The sequence below is a fragment of the Homo sapiens genome, chromosome 15, assembly GCF_000001405.40.
Source record: "Homo sapiens chromosome 15, GRCh38.p14 Primary Assembly".
Taxonomy (NCBI): domain Eukaryota; kingdom Metazoa; phylum Chordata; class Mammalia; order Primates; family Hominidae; genus Homo; species Homo sapiens.
In genome coordinates, this window is record NC_000015.10 from 76865816 (window position 1) to 76890910 (window position 25095).

A 25095-nucleotide genomic window follows, 5' to 3' on the forward strand; every position below is an offset into this window, starting at 1 on the left:
TAATGTAAACATCCGTACCCATATTCCTTCATTCCTCTGACCTTACCCTGAATATCCATGTGTCATCTACTTACCTGACTCATTAAGGTCTTTCACTGAAACTCATTTGTCTATGATCACTGTCCAAACCCCATTCAGTGTCCTGTAGATTTGCAAAAGTCACTTCTCTACTCATTCTCATACTTTCCAATCAATGTAACACCAGAAAACTTCGTCCTTTAGCTTAAGCACATCTCCCATTAAGTATTGGTCAGTTCTATCTAACTTACACTGGCATCTATCATTTAGCATTGTTCTAACCAAGGGTATCACTATTGCTTCCAGGCCAAATGAACAAGTATAAATAGATGGCCTACTTTTCAGCTCTACTTCAGATAATTCCCTTACACAATCACAGAACATCCTGTGAGACAGAGAGAGACACTGAGTGTGTGTGTGTGTGTGCGTGTGTGTGTGTATATCAGGTCAGAAAATTCACTATGCCATACATTACATTCTAAGTCAAGAGTCTTCACAAAATAATGAGTTTCCAAGAACTAAAATGGATAATCACAAAATAGCAATGTTGTAACACTAGACCAGAAAACTTCAAATCTAACATTCTTTACTTCCATAAACATTTCAGCTCCACTATAAATTTTACCAAGTTAGCTCTTTTGTATTTAGTACATATACACAGACACACATTCAAAGAAAAACCACTAGCTCAAGACTTTGATTTTATTCTTAATTCCAATACTTGATAAGCAAAAACATTATAACTACTCATCTTACTACAAGATCTGATTGAAAATCATTTTTCATTTTAAAGCACAGATGCTTTTTGTAATACATGCTGAATGGATTCCTTTTAGTAAAAACCCATAAATTCTAATGATTTTTAGTAGTCCAGTTCTTATAAAAATGTCAGTAGTAATGTAAATAAAATAGTTTTAAGCATTTTAATATCAGTATCAGGGTTTGAAATGCAATACATGGTTCTGAGATACTTCATAAAATAGATGTCTATTTCAAACAGTATTTTTTTTTAACCTAGGTTCTTTTCTCACAGGAGTCTTCAACAAAATATGTGTATTTTCATCCAAAGTCACAGTGTGCCACCTAGTGCTGTATGGAGATTTTACAGAGGCCTGTTCAAATACTTAATGTTTCAACTAAAAGTATAAAGATCAGCCTTCAGTGAAAGTTTTTATGTTCAAATCTTACAGTACATAATCTAAGAAAGTGTTTACAATAGTTACCAAAGAGGCTAGGTACTTCTGAGACTTGCTCCCAAAGAAACTTCTTTCTCTTAGGTTTAAAATATCTAAATAATTTCAACAACTTTCCCCATAATCTTGAAAAGGTTACAAGTACTGTTTACTAAATGTCTATGTATCTGTCTCCATAAAACTTTCTACTTTATACAAGTTCTTCAAAATCCATTCATACCACTATCTGCCCATAAAATGAAATTCTTGTATCTTTTTTCCAATGTTTTTCAGCTTTCTGAATAATTCAGAAAAGAACCTTTCTCTTAAATTCCCACTACTAACGCCCTTAATACTTTGGGTAGCATGAAGACAAGATTACTAGTCATGCAGCTTACCTGAGAAACCATGTAACTAGTACAATTTTCCTAATATTACAGAATGATAAGCTGGAATCCTGTTCAGTAATTTACGATAACTTTATCAGTTTTTACCAATATTTCACACCATCTAAAGGTAAAACCATAGATGAACTAAGGATGGCTAAACTATTATAAGGGGGAAACAACTTCTCTCTTGTATGAGCTACTCTGTTCTGGAGTCTCTGTTATAGCTCACTAGCCTATACACTAAATGATATATCAAGTCTTACCGAGTCTATCTCCTAAACACAACTGGAGAATGTAAATCCACTACCATCACCCTAGTCCAAGCTATCATCATCTCAAACCTAAATTACTAATACTGTATCAGCCTCCATGACAGAGACTACAATATGCATCAAAACCACTTGCTTTCTTTCCTGTCACAAAGCTAGACAACACCTTCCAGTCTTTCTTGCAGACAGATGGCCATGTGACTAAGTTCTGCATGCTAGAATATAGGGGAAAATGAGGTAAGCTATGTCCAGGTCTGGGTTTGCTTTTTTTTAAGTCTCCTGCATCATCAGCTATGTTCTCTCCCTCAATTCCCCACTTACTGGCCAGATGCATAGGATCTAGCAGACCTCTCTAAAGAATGATAGAGTCATAAGATAAAAAAAAAAATTTAGTCCCATCAAAATGTGAAAGGTCACATGCTGAATACCTACACTGAACTATTAAGTGAACAAGAAATAAACTACTAATCTGTTGGTTCCCCTTCCAGTTATGAAAACATAAAAGGCATCCACATTGGAAAGGAAGAAGTCTAATTAGCCTAGTTTGCAGATGACATCTTTTACTTAGAAAAAGATAAAGACAGCCAGGTGTGGTGGCTTACACCTGCAATCCTAGCACTTCGAGAGGCAGAGGCAGGAGAATTGCTTCAGCCTGGGAGCTCAAGGCTGCAGTGAGCTATGATCGCATCATTGCACTCCAGCCTGGGTGACAGAGTGAGACCTTGTCTCAAAAAAAAAACCAAAAAACCTAAAGACTACACCAAAATCTGTTAGAACTGATTAACAAATTCAGTAAAGTTACAGGATACAAAATCAACATACAAAAACCAACAGTGAACAATCCAAAAAAGAAAATCAAGAAAGCAATCCCATTTACGATAGTTACAAAGAATATAAAATATCTTGGAATCAATTTAACCAAAAAAGGGAAAGATCCAGACAAGGAAAATTGTAATACACTGATGAATGAGAATGAGGAGGATATAAAAAATGGAAAGATATTTCATGCTTATGAAATGGAAGAATACTATTAAAACAACACTACCCAAAGCAATTTACAGATTCAATGCAATCCCTTTTCAAAATACCAATGACATTCTTTACAGAAATAGAAAAAAAAATCCTAAAACTTATATGGAACACAAAATACCCCAAACAGCCAAAACAAACCTGGGCAAAAAGAATAAAGCTGGAGACATCACAGTACCTGACTACAGTAACAAAATCAGCATGGTACTGGCATAAAAACAAACACACAGACCAATGGAACAGAATAGAGAACCCAGAGATAAACCCATGCATTTACAGCCAACTAATCTTTGACAAAGTTGACAGGAACATACACCAGGGAAAGAACACCCTATTCAATAAATGGTGCTGGGAAAACTGGATAACTTTATGCAAAAGAATAAAACTAGGTTCCTATCTCTCACCATACCAAAAAATCAAATCAAAATGGATTAAAAACTTCAAAGTAAGACCTGAAACTATGAAACTACTAAAATAAAACTTAAAAGAAATGCTCCAGGATATTTGTCTGGGTAAAGAATTTTTGTGTAAGATCTCAAAAGCACAGGCAACAAAAACAAAAATAGACAAATGAGACTATATTAGTAACTAAAAGGCTTCTGCATAACAAAGGAAATAATCAACAAAGAGACAATCCACAGAGTGGAAGAAAATATTTGGAAATTACCCATCTAGTAAGAGATTAATAACCAGAACATATGAGGAGCTCCAACAACTCACTAGCAAAACACAAATAATCCAAATTAAAAATGGGCAAAAGATCTAAATAGACATTTCTCAAAAGATATACAAAATGGCCAACAGATATATGAAAAAAGACTCATCACTAATCACCACAGAAATGCAAATCAAAACTACAGTGAAATATCATCTCACGCAGTTAAAATGGTTTTTATCAAAAAGACAGGCAATAACATGCTACCAAGGATGTGGAAAAAGAGGCACCCTAAGTACACTGTTGGTGGAAATGAAAATTAGTATGCCATTATAGAGAACAGTATGAAAGTTCCCCAAAAAAACTAAAAAGAGAATCATCATATGATCCAGCAATTCCACTACTGCGTATATATCCAAAATAAAGGAAACTAATATATCAAAAAGTTATCTGCACTCCCATGTTTATTACATCACTATTCACATATATGGAATCAACCTAAGTGCCATCAACAGATGAATAAAGAAAAAGTATTACATATACAAAGTTGAATATCATTCAGCCATGAAAAAGAATAAAATCCTGTCACTTGCAACAACATAGATGGAACTGGAGGTCATTATGTTAAGTGAAATAAGCCAAACACAGAAAGAGAACTATCATATGTTCTCCCTCATATGTTGGAGCTAAAAAAGTGGATCTCATAAAGATATAGAGTAGACTGGTAGTTACCCAAGGCCAGGAAAAGTAGTGGAGTGGGGTGGGTGGGGATAAAAAGTTGATTAATGGGTACAAATATATGGTTGGATAGAAAAAATAAGACCTAGTGTTAGATAGATCAGAGGGGTGACTATAGTTATAATACTTTATTATGCTTTTCAAAATAGCTAGAAAAGAATAATTTGAATGTTTCTAGTACAAAAAGACATATTTAGGTTGATAGACACAGCCAAGTATATTAACAAATTATATGAATGTAATCAATTATCACATGTACCCCAAAATTATGTACATCTCTTATGCAGCAATAAAATAAAATAAATTACTGGGCATACTAGAAAACAAGTCCAAAGACTAAAAACCAAGAAAAAATATAAAAAAAGGGAATATACCCACACATTAGCCAAGTAATAAAAGTTATCAGAAATAGATTTTAAAGTAACTCTAATTAATATGAACTGAAAATAAAAGGATTGAAATTTTCTGCAGAAAACTAGATACCTTAAAAGAATCAAGTAGAAATTATAAAACTGAAGAATCAAAAAACTGAAATTAAGAACTCAATGAATGGGTTTAACAAGAAATTAGTGAATTAGTTAGACTAAAATATCCAGAATGAAAACATAAAAAAAATAGAAAAGAGCAAAAGAGACATAAGAAATTTTTAAAAAGGTCAAACATAGAAGCAAAAACTGAAATCTGAGGAAAAGAGAAACAAAAATGGGATTAGAGCACATAAAGGCTGAGAACTTTCCAAAACTAACAAAAGATCATACCACGAATCAATAGGCATTATGAATAAAATTGTGAATTTTTTTAATAAAAAGGTAAAATAAAAAGACAAACGATAGACATATTAGGGTTAAAAAGTACCGACAACAACAACAACAAAAAACCTTAGAAGTAGTTACAAGTAACCTCAAATTAATAAGAATAAAACTGACAAGTGACATTCTATAAGAAATAATAAATGCAAGTCAAGAAAATACCTTCAAAGTGAAAAAGTAAGTAACTGCCATGCAGAAATATGTGAAAATATCTATTTAAAAACTAATAAAAGGGACAGGCGCCGTGCCTCATGCCTGTAATCCCAGCACTTTGGGAGTTCAAGGCGGGCGGATCATGAGGTCAGGAGGTTGAGACCATCCTGGCTAACATGGTGAAACCCTGCCTCTACTGAAAATACAAAAAATTAACTGGGCATGGTGGTGGGAGCCTGTAGTCCCAGCTACTTGGGGGACTGAGGCAGGAAAATTGGTTGAACCCAGGAGGCAGAGGTTGCAATGAGCTGAGATCGCACCACTGCACTCCAGCTTGGGGGACAGAACGAGACTCCATCTCAAAAAAAAAAAAAAAAACCTAATAAAAAATGAAGATAACCAAAAAATAAATAAATAAATAACACAGTCACCTGGGGAATAAGGGCAAGATGGGATAGCGATGGGGACTGGTGACTAATTACCAAATCCAAGGAGCTGCGGCTGGCGTTATCTGTTACAATTTGCTTTTTTTTTTTTTTTTTTTAGATGGAGTCTCACTCTGTCACCCAAGATGGAGTGCAGTGGTGTGACCTCAGTTCACTGAAGCCTCTGCCTCCTGGGTTCAAGCAATTCTCCAGGTTCAAGCAATTCTCCTGCTTCAGCCTCCCAATTAGCTGGGACTACAGGCACACGCCACCATGCTCGGCTAATTTTTGTACTTTTAGTAGAGACAGGGTTTCACCATGTTGGCCAGGCTGGTCTCAAACTCCTGACCTCAAGTGATCCACCCGCCTCAGCCTCCCAAAGTGCTAGGATTACAGGTGTGAGCCACCACGCCTGGCACAATTTGCATTTTTATGAGCAAAATATTGCACAGATTTCTTGATTACTTAAAAGCTATAAGATATACCTTTTCATTAAAAATAAATATTTTGAATATTAAAAATAAAAGAGGAAAAACAAAAAATGAAATTCACATGGATATTCTAGAAGAGAAATAAAATATTACTGAGGTTATGAGCTCAACAAATCGCTTTAACCACAAACTAGATACAGCAGAAGAAAGGTCAGCGAACTGGAAAATGGAAAATATGACAGTAGGAAATACCTACATGAAAGCACAGAGGAAAAAAAGAATACAGAAGAGAAAATAAACATATAAGACACAGTGAAAAAGTCTTACATGGTACAAGTGGAGACCTTGAAGGAAAGAACAGAGAAACTGGAGCAGAAAAAAAATTTGAAAGGGAATGGCTTTAAAACTGACAAAAGATAGCAGCCAAATTCTCCCAGAAGCTCTACAAACCCCCAAGCAGGATAAATACAAAGAAAACCAAACATAAGTATATCACAGAAAAACTGATGAAAACCTGAAACAAAGAAAATCTTAACAGTGTACAGAGAGGATAAGAGCTCATTACCTTCAAAGGGGTGACAAAAAAAACTCAGCTGATTTTCCAACAAACGGACATGATAAACGTCAGTAAACAGTGGAGCACCTTTAAAGTACTAAAAGAAAATTACTGTTTTCTAGTATAAAAAATATTCTAATCTAGTATAATAATATAGTATAATAATCTAGGTTTGCACGCAAACCTACCTTCTACTATTATACTACATTATGTACTATACATACTATATTATACTATACTATATTAATACAGTATAATAATCTAGGTTTGCATGCAAATGAAGAACACCAAAAACAGTAAAAATATAAATAAAAGAGTATGAATACAAACTATATGAAAGTACTATAATCTTATGAAATTTTAAAGATATGAAAAACAAAGTGTATCACAATTTCACAAAAGGTGGAAGGGGAGTAAACAATTAAAGTGGATAAGGCCTTTACATTCTCCAGGAAGTGATAAAAGTAACAATTTATAATAGACTCTAGTAAGTCATTAAGAAATGTTGGGCCGGGCACAGTAGTTCACACCTGTAATCCCAACACTCTGGGAGACTAAGGTGGGAGTATCACTTAAGGTCTAGAGTTCAAGACCAGCCTGGGCAATAGAGTAGAATCTTGTCTCTACAAAAAAAAAAAAAAAAAATTAAGCCAGGCATAATGGCACCTGTAGTCCCGGCTACTCAAGAGGCTGAGGTGGGAGGATTACCTGAAACCAGGAGTTCAAAGCTGTAGTGAGCTATGATAGCACCACTACACTCCAGCCTGGCCAACAGAGCCAGACTCCATCTCCCGAAAAAGAAAAAAAGAAAGGAAAAGGAAGGAAGGAAGGAAGGAAGGAAGGAAGGAAGGAAGGAAGGAAGGAAGGAAGGAAGGCAGGCAGGCAGGCAGGCAGGCAGGCAGGCAGGCAGGCAGGCAGGCAGGCAGGCATCTCTAGGGTGCCCACTAAAAAATAATAATACATAAATAATGGGCTTATAGGAAGAAATGGAAAGATATACTGCTAGAGTATATATAGTGATACTTTTAGTAAAAAGTTTATCAACCAGGAAAACATATCAATGTCAAATGTGCACATATCTAACACATCTAATAATGTACAAGTAAAATTGAAATAAGAGAAAAATACAATTATTTTTGGAGATTTTAACACAACACACTCTTTTAGAAGCTGGCAGAACAAGCAGACAAAAAAATTAAGTAACAATATAGAAGATTTGAACAACATAATTAACAAGTTGATATATTTGACATATTCAGAACCCAGCAGTCAACAATGGCAAAAACACATTTTTTCCAGGTGCATGTTTTCCAAACTGTCAATATCCTTAGTCATAACTCAGGTCTCACTAAATTTCAAAGTATAGAAAGTAAAAAGAGATATAACCTGAATAATCCCCATGTGTTTGGAAGTTAAGCAATACATTTCTTTTCTTCTTCTTTTTTTTTTTTTGAGATGGAATCTCGTTCTGTTGCCCAGGCTGGACTGCAGTAGTGCCATCTTGACTCACTGCAGCCTCTGCTTCCGGGTTCCAGCGATTCTCCTGCTTCAGCCTCCCAAGTAGCTGGGATTACAGGCGCCCAGCACCACGCCTGGCTAATTTACTGTATTTTTAGTAGAGACAGCGTTTCACCACGTTGGGCAGGCTGGTCTTGAACTCCTAGCCTCAAGTGATCCATCTGCCTCGTCCTCCCAAATTGCTGGGATTACAGGCATGAGCTACCGCACCCTGCCAACCAATACATTTCTAAATAACTTGGGGATCAAGGAAAAAATCACAATGGAAATTGTATTTTTAGTTAAATGATAATAAAATGATGGCAGGTTAACATTTACAAGATGCAGCTTAAAAGAAACTGCATAGCTTTAAAGGATATGTAAGAAAGAAAACAGGCTAAAACTAAATTATCTAAGTCTCTATTTCAAGAAGTTAGTAAAAGAGCACCATATTAAATCCCAAGAAAGGAAGTAATAAACAGCAAAAAATCAATATAATACAAGACCAACATGTGATACAGAAAAATTAAAAAAAAAACAAAAGTGAGTTATTTAAAAACACTAATGAAATGTATATATTCCTTGGCAAGAGGGATCAAGTAAAAACAAGAGCAGGCAAAAATAGTATTAGGAATTAAAAAGAAAGATCACTACAGATCCTAGAAACCTCCACACATCAAAAAGATAACAAAAGGATATTATAAATAAAATTGTATCCGGTCAGTCACCGTGGCTCACACCTGTAATCCCAGCACTTGGGGAGGCCAAGGCAGGAGGACTGCTTGAGACCAAGAGTTCAAGACCAGACTGGACAACATAGCAAGACCTCTCTCTACTAAAAATAAAAATAAAAAACAAATAGCCAGGCATGGTGGTACCACCTCTAGTCCCAGCTACTCAGGAGGCTAAGGCAGGAGGATCACTGGAGCCCAGGAGTTCAAGGTTTCAGTGAGCTATGATCATCATGCCACTACACTCCAGCCTGGGTGTGACAGAGTGAGACTCTGCCTCTCAAAAAAATAATAATAATAATTAAGTAACATTGTAGCAATGAATTTGTAAATCTCTTTGAAACAGACAAGTCCGTTGAAAAACATAACTTACCAAACCTTGGCATAAAAGAAAACAGAAAATCTGAATAGTTACTGAAGAAATTGAATCCCACAAAAGAAAATCTATGACCAGATGGGTTTCACTGGTAAATTATCCTAATCATTTAAGCAACAAATTACATTAAATTTTCTAGAGAATAAAGAAGAAAAAACACATTTTATGAGGCCTGAAAAACTCTGATATCAGAACCTAACAGGACCATACAGGAAACATAAATTATAATTTAATGTCTTTTAAGAGAAAAGATGTGAAAATCATATATATGTATGTGTATAAGCACACAAACGTAGGCCAGGCGTGGTGGCTCATGCCTGTAATCCCAGAAAAACTTTGGCAGGCCAAAGTAGGCGGATCACTTGAGGTCAGGAGTTCAAGACCACCCTGGCCAATATGGCAAAACCCCATCTCTGCTAAAAATACAAAACTTAGCGGGCGTGGTGGTACGCGCCTGTAATTCCAGCTACTCAGGAGGCTGAGGCATGAGAATCACTTGAACCTGGGAGGCGAGGGTTGCAGTGAGCTGAGACTGTGTCCAGAATTGGTGGGTTCTTGGTCTCACTGACTTCAAGAATGAAGCCGCAGACCGTTGCCCTGAGTGTTACAGTTCTTAAAGACAGCGTGTCCGGAGTTTGTTCCTTCTGATGTTCGGATGTGTTGGGAGTTTCTTCCTTCTGGTGGGTTCGTGGTCTCGCTGGCTCAGGAGTGAAGCTGCAGAACTTTGCGGTGAATGTCACAGCTCATAAAGGCAGTGTGGACCCAAAGAGTGAGCAGCAGCAAGATTCACTGCAAAGAGCGAAAGAGCAGGGGGCGGCGCTGGTCGAGGAGGCTCGGGCCGCGCAGGACCCCACGGTGGGGGGCGGGGTCAGGCTCAGGCATGGCGGGCTGCAGGTCCCGAGCCCTGCCCCGCTGGGAGGCAGCAAAGGCCCAGCGAGAAATCGAGCGCAGCGCCAGTCGGCCGGCACTGCTGGGGGACCCAGCGCACCCTCCCAGCTGCTGGCCCAGGTGCTAAGCCCCTCACTGCCCGGGGCCACTCCGAGTACAGGAGCCCGCCAAGCCCACGCCCATCAGGAACTCTAGCTGGCCCGCAAGCGCCACGCACAGCCCTGGTTCCCGCCCGTGCCTCTCCCTCCACACCTCCCGGCAAGCTGAGGGAGCCGGCTCTGGCCTCAACCAGCCCAGAGAGGGGCCCCCACAGCTCAGTGGCGGGCTGAAGGACTCCCCGAGCATGGCCAGAGTGGACGTCGAGGCCGAGGAGGCACCAAGAGTGAGCGAGGGCTGCGAGGGCTGCCAGCACGCTGTCACCTCTCAAGATCATGCTACTGCACTCCAGCCTGGGCAACAGAGTAGGGCTCTGCCTCAAAACAAAAGCAAAAAAAAAAAAAAAAAAATACACACACATTTATACATGTATGTATAAACATAAACGTACTTGCAAATTGAATTCAGATATGAGAACACCACCAAGTTGGGTTTATTTCAGGAATACTAAGCTGATTTAACATTTTCAAATCAATGAATATAATTCACAGAATTTATTAATCTGTTAATAAATTTATATTTATTAACAACATAAAGGAGAAAAGCCTTGTGTTCACATCAACAGATGAAAAGAAAAGCATGTAATAAATTTCAATATTTATTTATAACTTTTAAATTCTTAGCAAACTACAGCAAACATCATATATAATGGTATAAAACTGAAAAAGACAAGGATGCCTACTACTATCACTACTTCCATTCAATATTATATTGAAAGTCCTAGCCTGTGTAATAAGGTGAGAAAAAGAATAAAACAGGGAAATTACGAGCTGAACCTACAGCAGCTTGTTACACTAGAAAGTATAGAAATGCTCAAAGAATAATATGGACATACCAAATAGATTTGGCTGGGTACACTGGCTCACAACTGTAATCCCAACACTCTGGGAAGCCAAAGCTGGAGGATTGCTTGAGTCCAGGAGTTCAAGACCAGCCTGGGAAACATAGGGAGACCCCCATCTCTACAAAAAATTTAAAAAATTGGCCCAGCTACTCAGGAGACTGAGGCAGGAGGCTGGCTTGAGCCCAGGAGGTCGAGGCAGCAGTGAGCTGTAATTACGCCACTGCACTCTTGCCTGGGTGACAGAGACCCTGTCTTTAAAAAAAAAAAAAAAAAATCCAAGAGCCAGCTTAAAGTCTCCCACTGGCTAATATGGGACAATCTGAGTACCAAAATAAATAATGATTATGTTAGATTACATTAAATAAAATTAAAAATCAGAGTCCAGATAACAAGAGAATGTAAGCATTTTCCTCACAGATCTTTAACTAATAAGGAAATCATTAATGGATTCTAAACCTAGTAAGTGACAGTTTGATAAGGTACTGTATATTTACACAGCCTCGAAGTGCTTCTCCACAAATTGCTTACTAATATCAAAAGAGAAAACAGAAACTTTAAAGTAGAAAAGCTTGACACTACATTACATTAACAAAGTAATCAAAGTTAACAAGCAGGATGAATTCACATCATATACCTCCTAAAGTGATGTACTGAGGACACATCGTCATTCGTGTGATATTCTGCCTAAAATGCAAAACCTGAATCTAATCATGATGAAACATCACCTAAATTGAGAAGACATCCTTCAAAATATCTGTTCTGTAGTCTTCAAAAATGGCAAAGTCAAGAAAGAGAAAGGCTGAAGAACTGTTCCAGATTAAAGGAGACCAAACAGACCTGGCAACTAAATGGATCAAGAAGAAAATAACTATAAAAGACATCATTCAGATAATGACAAATTTTGAATATCTACTGTGTATTATATAATAATACTGTATGAATGTTAAATTTCCACATTTTGAACACTGAATTGTGGTCATATAAAAGAATGTCCTTAATTCTTAGGAAATACATATTGAAGTATTTAAGGATGAAGGAGTATGTTGGCTTCAAATACTCTTAAATGGTTCAGGAAGAAAAGTAATATGCATATATTTATATATGTGTGCAGGTAGATATGTGTATATGGATGTATGTATATTTACAGACACGTGTTTCATACACACAAAGAGAGAAAGGAAAGAATAAAACTAATGGGGCAAAATTAGCAATTGGTAAGTCTGGCAAAAGTATATATGAGAATTCATATATGGATATATATCATATATGGATGTATGTATATTTACAGACACGTGTGTTTCATACACACAAAGAGAGAAAGGAAAGAATAAAACCAATGGGGCAATTGGTAAATCTGGCAAAAGGATATATGAGAATTCCTCATAGTCTTCTCACAACCTTTCTTAAATTTAAAATTATAATGAAATTAAAAATTACCAAAAATGATACAGGGGAGTATTTTCATGATTTTCAGGTAGAAAGAAATAATTAGGACACAAAAAGCACTAATCATAAAGGAAAAATTTAATAACCAAGCTTCATTAAAATTAAGAACAGATCCTATTCAAAAGATGGTATTAAAAAATGAAAAAGCAAGCTACAGAGTAGGAGAAGTGCCAAAGGTGCCAAAGGTCTTAGATTCAAGATAAAGAACTCCTTAAATCAATTGCAAAAAGAGAAAGACACTGAGTCAAAGCCAGGCATGGTAGCTCATGCCTGTAATCCTAGGACTTTGGGAGGCCAAGGCAGGAGGATTATTTGAGCTCAGGAGTTTGAGACCAGCCTGGGCAACATAGTGAGATTCTGTCTCTATTTAAAAAAGAAAAAAAGAAGAGGAAGAGGAAGAAGAAGACAGAGACTGAGTCAAAAAAGAAGTCTACTGGGTCAATAAAAAAATGGGGAGGAAACTTGAGTAGGCACTTCACAAATGATATCTAAATGGCCAATAATCAAACAAAGAAGTACTAAGAATCAGTCATCAAAATTTACCAAAAAAATTTTTTTAATAAATAAATGATTATACTGTGTACTGGTGAGGATCTGGGGCAACTCCTCCCATACACTACCGACAGGAAATGAAACTGGTAGCCCCACTTTGGAAATCTGGTATTATCTACAAATACATGACCTGGCCTCCAGTCTCAACTTGTACTATTCTTTTCCTTCTTTGCCATGCTCCAAAATCAGACTTTCATGCAGTTCCCCATAAGCACCAAGCTCCATCCTAATTCAGGACATTTACACAGAATTCTTCCTTCTGTATGGAATAGCCTGCCCCTCTATAATGCACATTTATTGGCTTCTTCCCTAGCATTCATTCTCTACATCCTCCTTTCCTAATAGTTCAATTTTTGTTGGGGTCCCTTGTGGTTCTAGGTAAGCACCTTTTGTCCCTAACTCCAGGGTGCAGCACATGACCTTGCCTAAGTCAATCTGCTCGCCTAGCCACAACAACTGATCCAGAGGTGAGCATGTGACCTAAGGTGATCAAAACTTAGGATCTCAGATCTTTTACTGGAATGTTAGAGAAAAGACTCTCCTACTGGCCATATGTTAGGGAATATACAGCTTTGGAAACTACTGCTAAGCATCTAGGGATCATAAAGACAGCAAGCCTTAAAATAATGGCAACAGAACAGAAGCCAGAGTAAGTGGAGGAAAAGCAATCAAATTTTTGATGACACTGTTGAGCCACTGGATCAATTCTTATCTGAAGCCAACTCTACTTGCTACTGAAAGCATTCTAAGAGAGTATTCCTCTTAGCCCAGCCAAAGCCTAATGATCTTTCGAATCCCAACTTAAATGTAACGTCCTAAGGCTAAGTTTTCTTCAACCCCGAGACTTGGCCAGGATTCCTTTTATATACTCAAACCAACTTGTACTCCTTTGTAACACTTAACCACAATTATATTTTAAATCATACACTTAATGTGTTTACTCTGTCTTCCATTAGACAGTAAGTTTCTGAAGGACTAGGTTTTGTTCACTATTCTCACTGTGTAGGATGGTGTCTGGCACATAAATATGTATGAATAAATGAATAACTGGCAGAATGATTTTTAAAAAGCATCAATAAATGAACATTATTGGGAAATGAGGTGTTCTACATAAATTGATAACTTAGGTTTGCCCCGCTAAGCACAAATTCTTTTTGGTTTTATTATTTTGTATGAAAATCTCTGAACACATTTCCTTGACCTCTGCGACAGAGGCTACTAAAGAAACTTACTCTTTTCTTGATAACTTCAGGTTACCACTATGAACACCAACTTCTATATGATACTATAATTTAATTATGCCTCAGGAGTTATAGAAATACAAAAGACAGTTGTCCTAAAATAAATGGGCACAGACAAAAGTGTTGTTAAAGATTTTTTAGTTCTTTACTTCCTGATGATTAAGAAGAACACAAAAGCTTAATTCTTAATTATTTTCTCCTCTTCCCTAACAAGCTATTAGCTGTCAATTCTTATTTGGTAGGCTTATGGGAAATGTACTATTACAGTTCTGAATAAGGAACTCAAGAATTCTGCAAGTACAGTGAATATACTTACAGTGTGTGGACTATCTGTTGTGTATGATCATAAGCATTTTTCATTTACTTTCAGGTTTTTGGACATATTCCTTAGAGTCACAATTGGCAGATAAGAAAAACTTTACTATATCTTACCTGCTAGAGTTTTAAAACAGAGATCAATAGGAAATAGTATGCAGCTATAAAAAGAAACGAAGATCTCTAACACTCTAGGATATATTGCTAAGTGAAAAGAAAAAAAAAAAACTCCCAAGATACTAAAATATATTACCTTTAGGTTCAAAAAAGAAAAACACATGTATATACATATAAATGTATACATTCATTTTGAAAATATAAAAGATAAATCAAACATTAAGAAAAACGATTACCCATGCACCCATTAAAATGGCTACCATCAAAAAAACAGAAAATAAAAAATGTTGGTGAGGATGTGGAAAAACTGGAACCCTTGTGCACTGTTGGTGGGAATTTTAAATGTTGCAGCCACTGCGGAAAACACTATGACAGTTCCTCCAAACATTAAAAATAGATTTACCATATTATCTACAAGTTCCACTTTTGGTTACGTACCCGAAATAACTGAAAACAGTTCTTTACTATTTTATTTATTTATTTACTTTTTGGAGACAGAGTCTTGCTCTGACACAAAGGCTAGAGTGTAGTGATATGATCATGGCTCACTGCAACCTCCGCCTCCTGGGTTCAAGCGATTCTCATGCCTCAGCCTCTCATGTAGCTGGGACTAAAGGTGCATATCACCATGCCAGCTAATTTTTTGTATTTTTAGTAGAGCCAGGGTTTCGCCATGTTGGCCAAGCTGGTCTCAAACTCCTGACCTCAAGTGAGCCAACTGGCTCGGCCTTCCAAAGTGCTAGGATTACAGGCGTAAGCCATTGCGTCTGGCCTGAAAACAGTCTTGAAGAGATATCTGTACACCCATGTTCATAGCATCAACATTCACAATAGCTAAAAAGGGGAAACAGCCCAAGTGTCTGATGAATGGATAAGCAAAACGTAATATATTATTATTATTTATTTATAACAGAATATTATTCAGTCTTAAAGAGGAGGGAAATCTGACATATGCTACAACATGGATGAACCTTGAAGACATTATGCTAAATGAAATAAGCCAAACACAAAAAGACAAATACTGGATGATTTCACTTATATGTGGTACATAAAGTAGTCAAAATCACAGAGACAGCAAGTGGTACAGGAGCAGGGGGTGAAGGGAAATGGGAAATTATTGTTTAATGTATAGAGTTTCAATATTTCAAGACAAGGAGTTCTGAAGATGAATAATAGTGATAGCTGCACAACAATATGAATGTACTTAATACCACTGAACTGTATACTTAAAAATGGTTCAGATGGTAAATGTCATGTTATTTGTATTAGCACAATTTAAAAAAATTAATGTTACCCACAAGGGAAGAAGAGGAAGAAGAGAGAAGAAAGCTGAATTTCTCTAAATGAACACTGTTTTATAGTTTGAATTTTGAACCATGTAAATGCTGCATATGCTATTAAATTAAAATTAAATCAAAGGAAAAAGAATTCCCTAAAAATCAAAAAGAAGCTGAGGACAGTGGAATCTCTTTTGTCAAGATACTAAGAAAGACCAGGCATAGTAGCTCATGCCTGTAATCCCAGCCCTGTGGAAGAAGGCCAAAGCAGGAGGATCACTTGAGGTCAGGAGTTCAAGATCACCTGGGCAACAAAGCAAGACCCTATCGCTACAAAAAAATTAAAAATAAAAAACTGGCATGCACCTATAGTTCCAAGCTACTTAGGAGGCTGAGGTGGGAGGACTGCTTGAGCCCAGGTGATAAAAACTGCAGTGAGCTATGATTGTGCCGCTGCACTCCAGACTGGGTGACAGAGAGACTCTGTCTCCAGAAGAAAAAAAAAAAGATATTAAGAGAAAAAAAATCTGTCAACCTAGACTTCTATCCCCTCTAAGACCATTTTTCAAAATTAGGGCAGATTAAAAAAAAAGAAATCTTCTGGCAAACAAAAGCATAGTTTATGACCAAAAGACCCAAAAGCAGACCAACAGAAAATAACCCCAAATGACAGATATGAAAAATCAAAACCTTAGAACTGAGGAAGAGTATGAAGTGGGAGGGATGAAATAAGAGCATACAACAAATAGATGCTCTCCTGCTCTTTCTTTTTTTCTTTTATTTGAGACGGAGTCTCGCTCTATAGCCCAGGTTGGAGTGCAGTGGCACGATCTTGGCTCACTGAAAGCTCCGCCTCCCGGGTTCATGCCATTCTCCTGCCTCAGCCTCCTGAGTAGCTGGGACTACAGGCGCCCACCACCACGCCAGGCTAATTTTTTGTATTTTTAGCAGAGACGGGGTTTCACCGTGTTAGCCAGGATGGTCTCGGTCTCCTGACCTTGTGATCCGCCCGTCTAGGCCTCCCAAAGTGCTGGGATTACAGGCGTGAGCCACCGTGCCCGGCCCTCTCCTGCTCTTTCAACCAGAAGAAGGGGCTCTGCCCTGAGCGCCACACTTCAGAAGGTTGTACCTATCAAAAATACCAAAATCCAAAAGGAATCAGTAACTAATTGAGTAAACACAAATTAAGAGAGAGGGACTCACAAACTAAACTTAGGGTCCCCCCAGGCCAGACAATAAGAGAGAAGGAAGAAGGCAAATCAGCATCAGTGCTGGAAAAAACAGAGCAAGAATATGTGCTTTTGATTAAGGTTGGTCACCCCAACTATCCCAAAGGAATTATCGAGGCAGACTGGACTCCATGTATACCTCCATTCCTTTCTCCTCCTCAATTTGAGTAGTTTAAGAAGATGTTTGGAATTGCCTGAAAAATCTTGAGTTAGAAAAGTAAAGTGTGGGAGACAGAAACCTGTTTTCCCTGGCTCTCTGGGGAATTTCACATCGGTCCCCATACCAGATTCAAGACCTACTCTAGCCCAACTTCTACCCTACCTAGCCCAGGGAGAGTAGGTTCCTTTAAGACTTGGCTAGACCCTGGGTAGGAGGCCAGGTCAGGCTGTTAGCATCCATTGATTTGTAACTATTTAATATTAAGAAATTTTAAAAGCTGGCTTCCACTTGTATTCCTAACCTAGGTACCATAAGTGTTAGAGGCAAGCCTGAGGAGCAGCAGGGTTCCTGGGCTCTAAGGTTGAATAGTACATTCATAGCTGCTCACTTTATCACTGTGCTTTATGACAATGTGTTCCATAGGGTATCTTGAATGAAACAACTATTACATTAAAAAAGATAAAAGAAAGGAAGAAAAGAGAAAGGCAAAAAAACTAAGGCTAGTCTTTAAGATATCACTTACCATCATTCTTTAAATTCTCTTCTATGCCAAGATCATTTATCACATAAACCCATGGAGTATGACTCCTACAATAAAAAATATATATACGCTTAGTTATAACATTACCAGAAAACCATAATTATTCATAAAAAGATACAAATCTCATCCCCACACTTACATTAAACAACAACAAAAAAAACTGCTCCTTTATATTACCTGTTGGGGTATAATATAGCATGCTTTAAATATTCCATGCTGAACAAGACCTCAGTGCTCTCCAAAAAATAAAAATAAAATGGAAAAGAAACAGTATTAATTACATGGACATCCTAACCCAGAGGGGTTCCAAACTTTCTTACTACAACCCATAAACACATACATGTTTTATATCTTACCCAGTTCATACACGTTTAACTGAATTAAAAATTTTGTAAAGTAACAGATGTACTCTAATATTTCCTTCTGTATTCTATTTCAGTTTTTAAATGCTGCTTTCACTGAACTGACTCACTAATGAGTCTGAACTCAGTATAGAAAATCCTGTGTAACTTTCCTTAAGAATGTTCATAAACTAAGATTTTATCAGAATATCTTAATTAACAATTACATAAGGCTGTAAGTACAACAGCCCGTACCTTTCAGGTAACCTATTTAATGTGGCCACACTTTTACTCAAAGAAATCCAAGTCAGGGAAACTAGACAGAACACAGGGACTGGGAAATTGCTTAACAAACAACAACAACAACAACAAAAATGACCTAACTCTGTATGAAGAGTCAGTGAACAAAGAAAAGAAAGCAGCAAATGGAACCAAACCTCCTTCTGGAAGAAAATCTAGATCATTTATCCTTTGTCAATAAATATGCTCCTTTAAAATGCAGTACCAGTAAACATATGTCCGGATAAAAATTTATATGCAAATGTTCACAGCAGCATTATTCATAACAGCTAAAAAGTAGAAACAACCCAAATACCTATCAACTGATGAATGGATAAATAAAATGTATATTCACACAATGAATAAAAGGACATAAAAATGGATAGACCAAAAAAAAGGAAGAAAGTGCTAATATATGCTACAATATGGATGAAATTTAAAAACATCATGCTAAGTGAAAGAAGCCAGTTATAAAAGAACACATATTGTATGATTCCACATACGTGAAATGTCCAGAACAGTCAAATCCATAGTGTCAGAAAACAGAGGTTGCTGAAGGCTGCGGGGTTAGGAGAAAATGAGAGTAACTGCTAATAAGCACACGGTTTCTTTAGGGGGTGATGAAAATGTTCTAAAATTAATTATGGTGATGGCTGCAAAACTCTGTGAATATACTAAAAACCATTTTTAAATGGGGAAATTATATTGTAAATGAATCATTTATCAGTAAAGCTATTATATTTTTTTAAATGTACTACCTCTGCTCACAAACCTCCAACCTCTCTCCATCTCACTCGGAGGAAAAGCCAAAGTCCTCACAGTAGGTTATCATGTCCAAAATTTTCCAATTCCATACACCCCTTCTCCCCAGCATTCACTGTACTCCAATCACACTGGCCTCCTTATGCTTCCCAGCATGCCAGACATATTCTAGCATTAGGGCTTTATACCTGTTGGACCTCCCATGTGGAACACTCCCAATTCACTTTGCACAAATGTCACTCTCAATGAGGCCTTCCCATATAACATTCATTCATTCATTCACTCATTTTGAGACAGGGTCTGGCTCTGTCGCCCAGACTGGAGTGCAATGGTGCAATCTTGGTTCACTGCAACCTCTGCCTCCCTGACTCAAGCCATCTTCCCACCTCAGCCTCCTGAGTAGCTGGGACTACAGGTGCACACCATCATGTCTGGGTAACTTTTGTATTTTTTGGCAGAGACGGAGTTTCACCACATTGCCCAGGCTGGTCTCGAACTATTGGGCTCAAGCAATCCACCCACCTCAGCCTCCCAAAGTGCTGGGGTTAAAGGCATGTGCCACCATGCACACCTGGCCCTATTTAAAATCATAACCCTACCAAACAAAGAAAAGCTATGGGAGTTCATCCCACCTTACAAAAAGGCTAAAAGAAGTTCTTCAAGTTGAAACAAAAGAAGACTAAACATTCATCTGTTGATAGACACAGGCTGATTTCATATCTTTACTACTGTGAATATGCTGCAATAAACATATAAGTGCAGGTATCATTTTGGTATATTGATTTCCATTGGGTAGATACCCAGTAGTGGGATTGTTGGATCAAATGGTAATTCTACTTTTTAGCTTTTTAAGACATCCCCATACTGTTTTCCATAAAGGGTATAATAATTCACATTCCCACAAAATTGTACATGAACCCCATAAATTTATATAAATTTTTTAAAAGGATGCTAACAATGTGAAAATGTATAAAAATAAAACTCACAACCGGGCACAGTGGCTCACGCCTGTAATCCCACCACACTGGGAGGCCGAGGTGGGCAGATCACCTGAGGTCAAAAGTTCAAGACCAGCCTGGGCAACATGGCAAAACCCTGCCTCTACTAAAAATACAAAAATTAGCTGGGTGTGGTGGTGCGCGCCTGTAATCCCAGCTACTTGGGAGGCTGAGGCAGGAGAATCACTTGAAACCAGGAGGCAGAGGTTGCAGTGAGCCAAGGTTGTGCCACTGCACTCCAGCCTGGGCAACAGAGTGAGACTCTCTCTCAAAAACAAATAAATAAAAATTTAAAAAAACATATGCTGGCAAGGTTCTGGAGAAAAAGGAACACTTATACACTGTTGGTGGGAGTGTAAATGAAGTTCAGCCATTGTGGAAGATAGTGTGGTGATTCCTCAAAGACCTAAAGACACAAATATAATTCAATCCCATTACTGGGTATATACCCAAGGGAACATAAATCATTCTATTATAAAGACACATACACCTGTATGCGCATTGCAGCACAATTCACAATAGCAAAGACATGGAATCAACCTAAATGCCCTCAATGATTGACTGGATAAAGAAAGTGTGGTACATATACACCAGGGAATACTATGCAGTCATTAAAAAGAATGAGATCATGTCCTTTGCAGGGACATGAATGTAGCTAGAGGCCATCATCCTTAGCAAACTAATGCAGGAACAGAAAACCAAACACCGCATGTTCTCACTTATATGTGAGAGCTAAATGATGAGAACACATGGACACATAGAGGGGAACAACACACACTGGGGCCTTTTGGAGAATGGAGTGTGGGAGGAGGGAGGGGGTGAGGAAAAATAATTGATGGGTACTAGGTTGAATACTTAGGTAATGAAATAATCTGTACAACAAAGTCCCATGACACAAGTTTACCAACATAACAAACCTGCACTTGTACCCCTGAACTTAAAATAAAAGTTTCAAAAAAAGAAAGTCTGAGTCCGTTCCAAGATGGCCAAACAGGAACACCTCCAGTCTGCAGCTTCCAGCATAAGTGACACAGAAGACAGGTGATTTCTGCGTTTCCAACTGATGTACCTGCTTAATCTCATTGGGACTGGTTGGACAGTGGGTACAACCCACAGAGGGTGAGCCAAAGCAGGCCGGGGCATCGCCTCACCAGGGAAGCACAAGGGGTTGGGGATTTCTCATTCCTAGCCAAGGGAAGCCGTGGCAGACTGTACCTGGAAAATCGGTACACTCTCGCCCAAATACCGCGCTTTTCCCACAGTCTTAGTAACCCACAGACTAGGAGATCCTCTCCCATGCCTGGCTCGGTGGGTCCCACACCCACGGAGCCTTGTCACTGCTAGTGTAGCAGTCTAAGATCAACCTGCAAGGCTGCAGCCCAGTCAGGGAGGAGCGTCCACAATTGCTGAGGCATGAGTAGGTAAACAAAGCAGCCAGGAGGCTCGAACTAGGCAGAGCCCCCCAACAGCTCAGCAAGGCCTACTTGCCTCTATAGACTCCACCTCTGTGGGCAGGGCATAGCTGAACAAAAAGCAGCAGACAACTTGTGCAGACTTAAACGTCCCTGTCTGATGGCTCTGAAGAGAGCAGTGCTTCTCCCAGCATGGCGTTTGACCTCTGAGGACAGACAGACTGCCTCCTCACATGGGTCCCTGACCCCCGTGTAGCCTAACTGGGAGACACCTCCCAGGAGGGGCCAACAGACACCTCATACAGGCAAGGGTCCCTCTGGAACAAAGCTTCCAGAGGAGGGTCAGGCAGCAATATTTGCTGTTCTGCAATATTTGCTGTTCTGCAGCCTCTGCTGGTGATACCCAGGCAAACAGTGTCTGGAGTGGACCTCCAGCAAACTCCAACAGACCTGCAGCTGAGGGACCTGACTGTTAGAAGGAAAACTAACAAACAGAAAGGAATAGCATCAACATCAACCAAAAGGACATCCACACCAAAACCTCATCTGTAGGTCACCAACATCAAAGACCAAAGGTAGATAAAACCACAAAGATGGGGAGAAACCAGAGCAGAAAAGCTGAAAATTCTAAAAACCAGAGTGCTTCTTCTCCTTCAAAGGATCGCAGCTCCTCACCAGCAACAGAACAAAGCTGGATGGAGAATGATGAGTTGACAGAAGTAGGCTTCGGAAGGTCGGTAATAACAAACTTCTCCAAACTAAAGGAACATGTTCTAACCCATTGCAAGGAAGCTCAAAAACCTTGAAAAAAGGTTAGACGAATGGCTAACTAGAATGAACAGTGGAGAGAAGACCTTAAATGACCTGATGGAACTGAAAACCATGGCAAGAGAACTTCGTGACGCATGCATAAGCCTCAGCAGCCGATTCAATCAAGTGGAAGAAAGGATATCAGTGATTGAAGATCAAATTAATGAAATGAAGTAAGAAGACAAGATTAGACAAAAAAAAGAGTAAAAAGAAATGAACAAAGCCTTCAAGAAATATGCACTATGTGAAAAGACCAAATCTACGTCTGACTGGTGTACCTGAAACTGATGGAGTGAATGGAACCAAGTTGGAAAACACTCTTCAGGGTATTATCCAGGAGAACTTCCCCAACCTAGCAAGGCAGGCCAACATTCAAATTCAGGAAATACAGAGAACACCACAAACATACTCCTCGAGAAGAGGAACCCCAAGATACATAATTGTCAGATTCACCAAGGTTGAAATAAAGGAAAAAATGTTAAGGGCAGCCAGAGAGAAAGGTCAGGTTATTCACAAAGGGAAGCCCATCAGACCAACAGCAGATCTCCTAGCAGTAACCCTACAAGGCAGAAGAGAGTAGGGGCCAATATTCAACATTCTTAAAGAAAAGAATTTTCAACCCAGAATTTCATATCCAGCCAAACTAAGCTTCAGAAGTGAAGGAGAAATAAAATCCTTTACAGACAAGCAAATGCTGAGTGATTTTGTTACCACCAGGCCTGCCTTATAAGAGCTCCTGAAGGAAGCACTAAACATGGAAAAGAACAACCGGTACCAGACACTGCAAAAACATGCCAAATGGTAAAGACCATCGATGCTATGAAGGAACTGCATCAATTAATGGGCAAAATAACCAGCTAACATAATGACAGGATCAAATTCACACATAACAATATTAACCTTAAATGTAAATGGGCTAAATGCCCCAATTAAAAGACACAGACTGGCAAATTGGACAGAGTCAAGACCCATCAGTGTGCTGTATTCAGGAGACCCATCTCATGTGCAGAGACACACATAGGCTCAAACTAAAGTATGGAGGAAGATCTACCAAGCAAATGGAGAGCAAAAAAAAGCAGGGGTCGCAATTCTAATCTCTGATAAAACAGACTTCAAACCAACACAGATCAAAAAAGACAAAGAAGGCCATTACATAATGGTAAAGGGATCAATTCAACAAAAAGAACAACTATCCTAAATATATACGCACCCAATACATGGACACCCAGATTCATAAAGCAAGTCCTTAGAGACCTACAAAGAGACTTAGACTCCCACACAATAATAATGGGAGACTTTAACACCCTACTCTCAGTATTAGACAGATTAATGAGACAGAAGGTTAACAAGGATATCCAGGACTTGAACTCACCTTTGCACCAAGCGGACCTAATAGACATCTACAGAACTCTCCACCCCAATTCAACAGAATATTCATTCTTCTCAGCACCACGTTGCACTTATTCTAAAATTGACCACATAATTGGAAGTAAAGCACTCCTCAGCAAATGTAAAAGAAAAGAAATCACAACAGTCTCTCAGACCACAGGGCAATCAAATTACAACTCAGGATTAAGAAACTCACTCAAAACTGCACAACTACATGGAAACTGAACAACCTGCTCCTGAATGACTACTGGGTAAATAATGAAATGAAGGCAGAAATAAAGATGTTCTTTGAAATCAATGAGAACAAAGACACAATGTACCAGAATCTCTAGGACACATTTAACACAGTGGGTAGAGGGAAATTTATAGCACTAAATGCCCACAAGAGAAAGCAGGAAAGATCTAAAATCTGCACCCTAACAACACAATTAAAAGAACTAGAGAAGCAAGAGCAAATAAATTCAAAAGCTAGCAGAAGGCAAGAAATAACTAAGATCAGAGCAGAACTGAAGGAAATAGAGACACAAAAAACCCTTCAAAAAATAAATGAATCCAGGAGCTGTTTTTTTGAAAAGATCAACAAAATTGATAGACTGCTAGGAAGACTAATAAAGAAGAAAAGACCGAAGAATGAAATAGATGCAATAAAAAATGACAAAGGGGATATCACCACAGATCCCACAGAAATACAAACTACCATCAGAGAATACTATAAACACCTCTACACAAATAAATTAGAAAAACTAGAAGAAATGGATAAATTCCTGGACACATACACCTTCCCAAGACTAAACCAGGAAGAAGCTGAATCTCTGAATAGACCAATAACGGGCTCTGAAATCGAGGCAATAATTAAGAGCCTACCAACCAAAAAAAGTCCAGGACCAGATAGATTCACAGCCAAATTCTACCAGAGGTACAAAGAGGAGTTGGTACCATTCCTTCTGAAACTATTCCGATCAATAGAAGAAGAGGGAATCCTCCCTAACTCATTTTATGAGGCCAGCATCATCCTGATACCAAAGCCTGGCAGAGACACAACAAAAAAAGAGAATTTTAGACCAATATCCCTGATGAACATTGATGCAAA

The 25095-nt window shown here is 38.4% G+C and overlaps 1 protein-coding gene across 27 annotated transcripts in view; it reads right to left on the reverse strand.

Moving 5' to 3' along the window:
* Window positions 1–25095, reverse strand: part of SCAPER (S-phase cyclin A associated protein in the ER) — a 557437-nt gene that overhangs the window by 517912 nt on the left and 14430 nt on the right. For 26 of the 27 annotated variants that reach the window (NR_148227.2, XR_007064448.1, XM_017022273.2 and 23 more), the window contains one exon: window positions 17997–18061. Coding sequence is in view for 19 of the 27 variants with exons in the window: in XM_047432625.1 (XP_047288581.1) it covers window positions 17997–18061 (65 nt within the window). In the remaining 8 variants the exon portion in view is untranslated. Of the gene's footprint in view, window positions 1–6653; window positions 6742–17996; window positions 18062–25095 lie in introns of those variants that run through there. The other variant, NM_001353012.2, reaches the window with a different exon arrangement.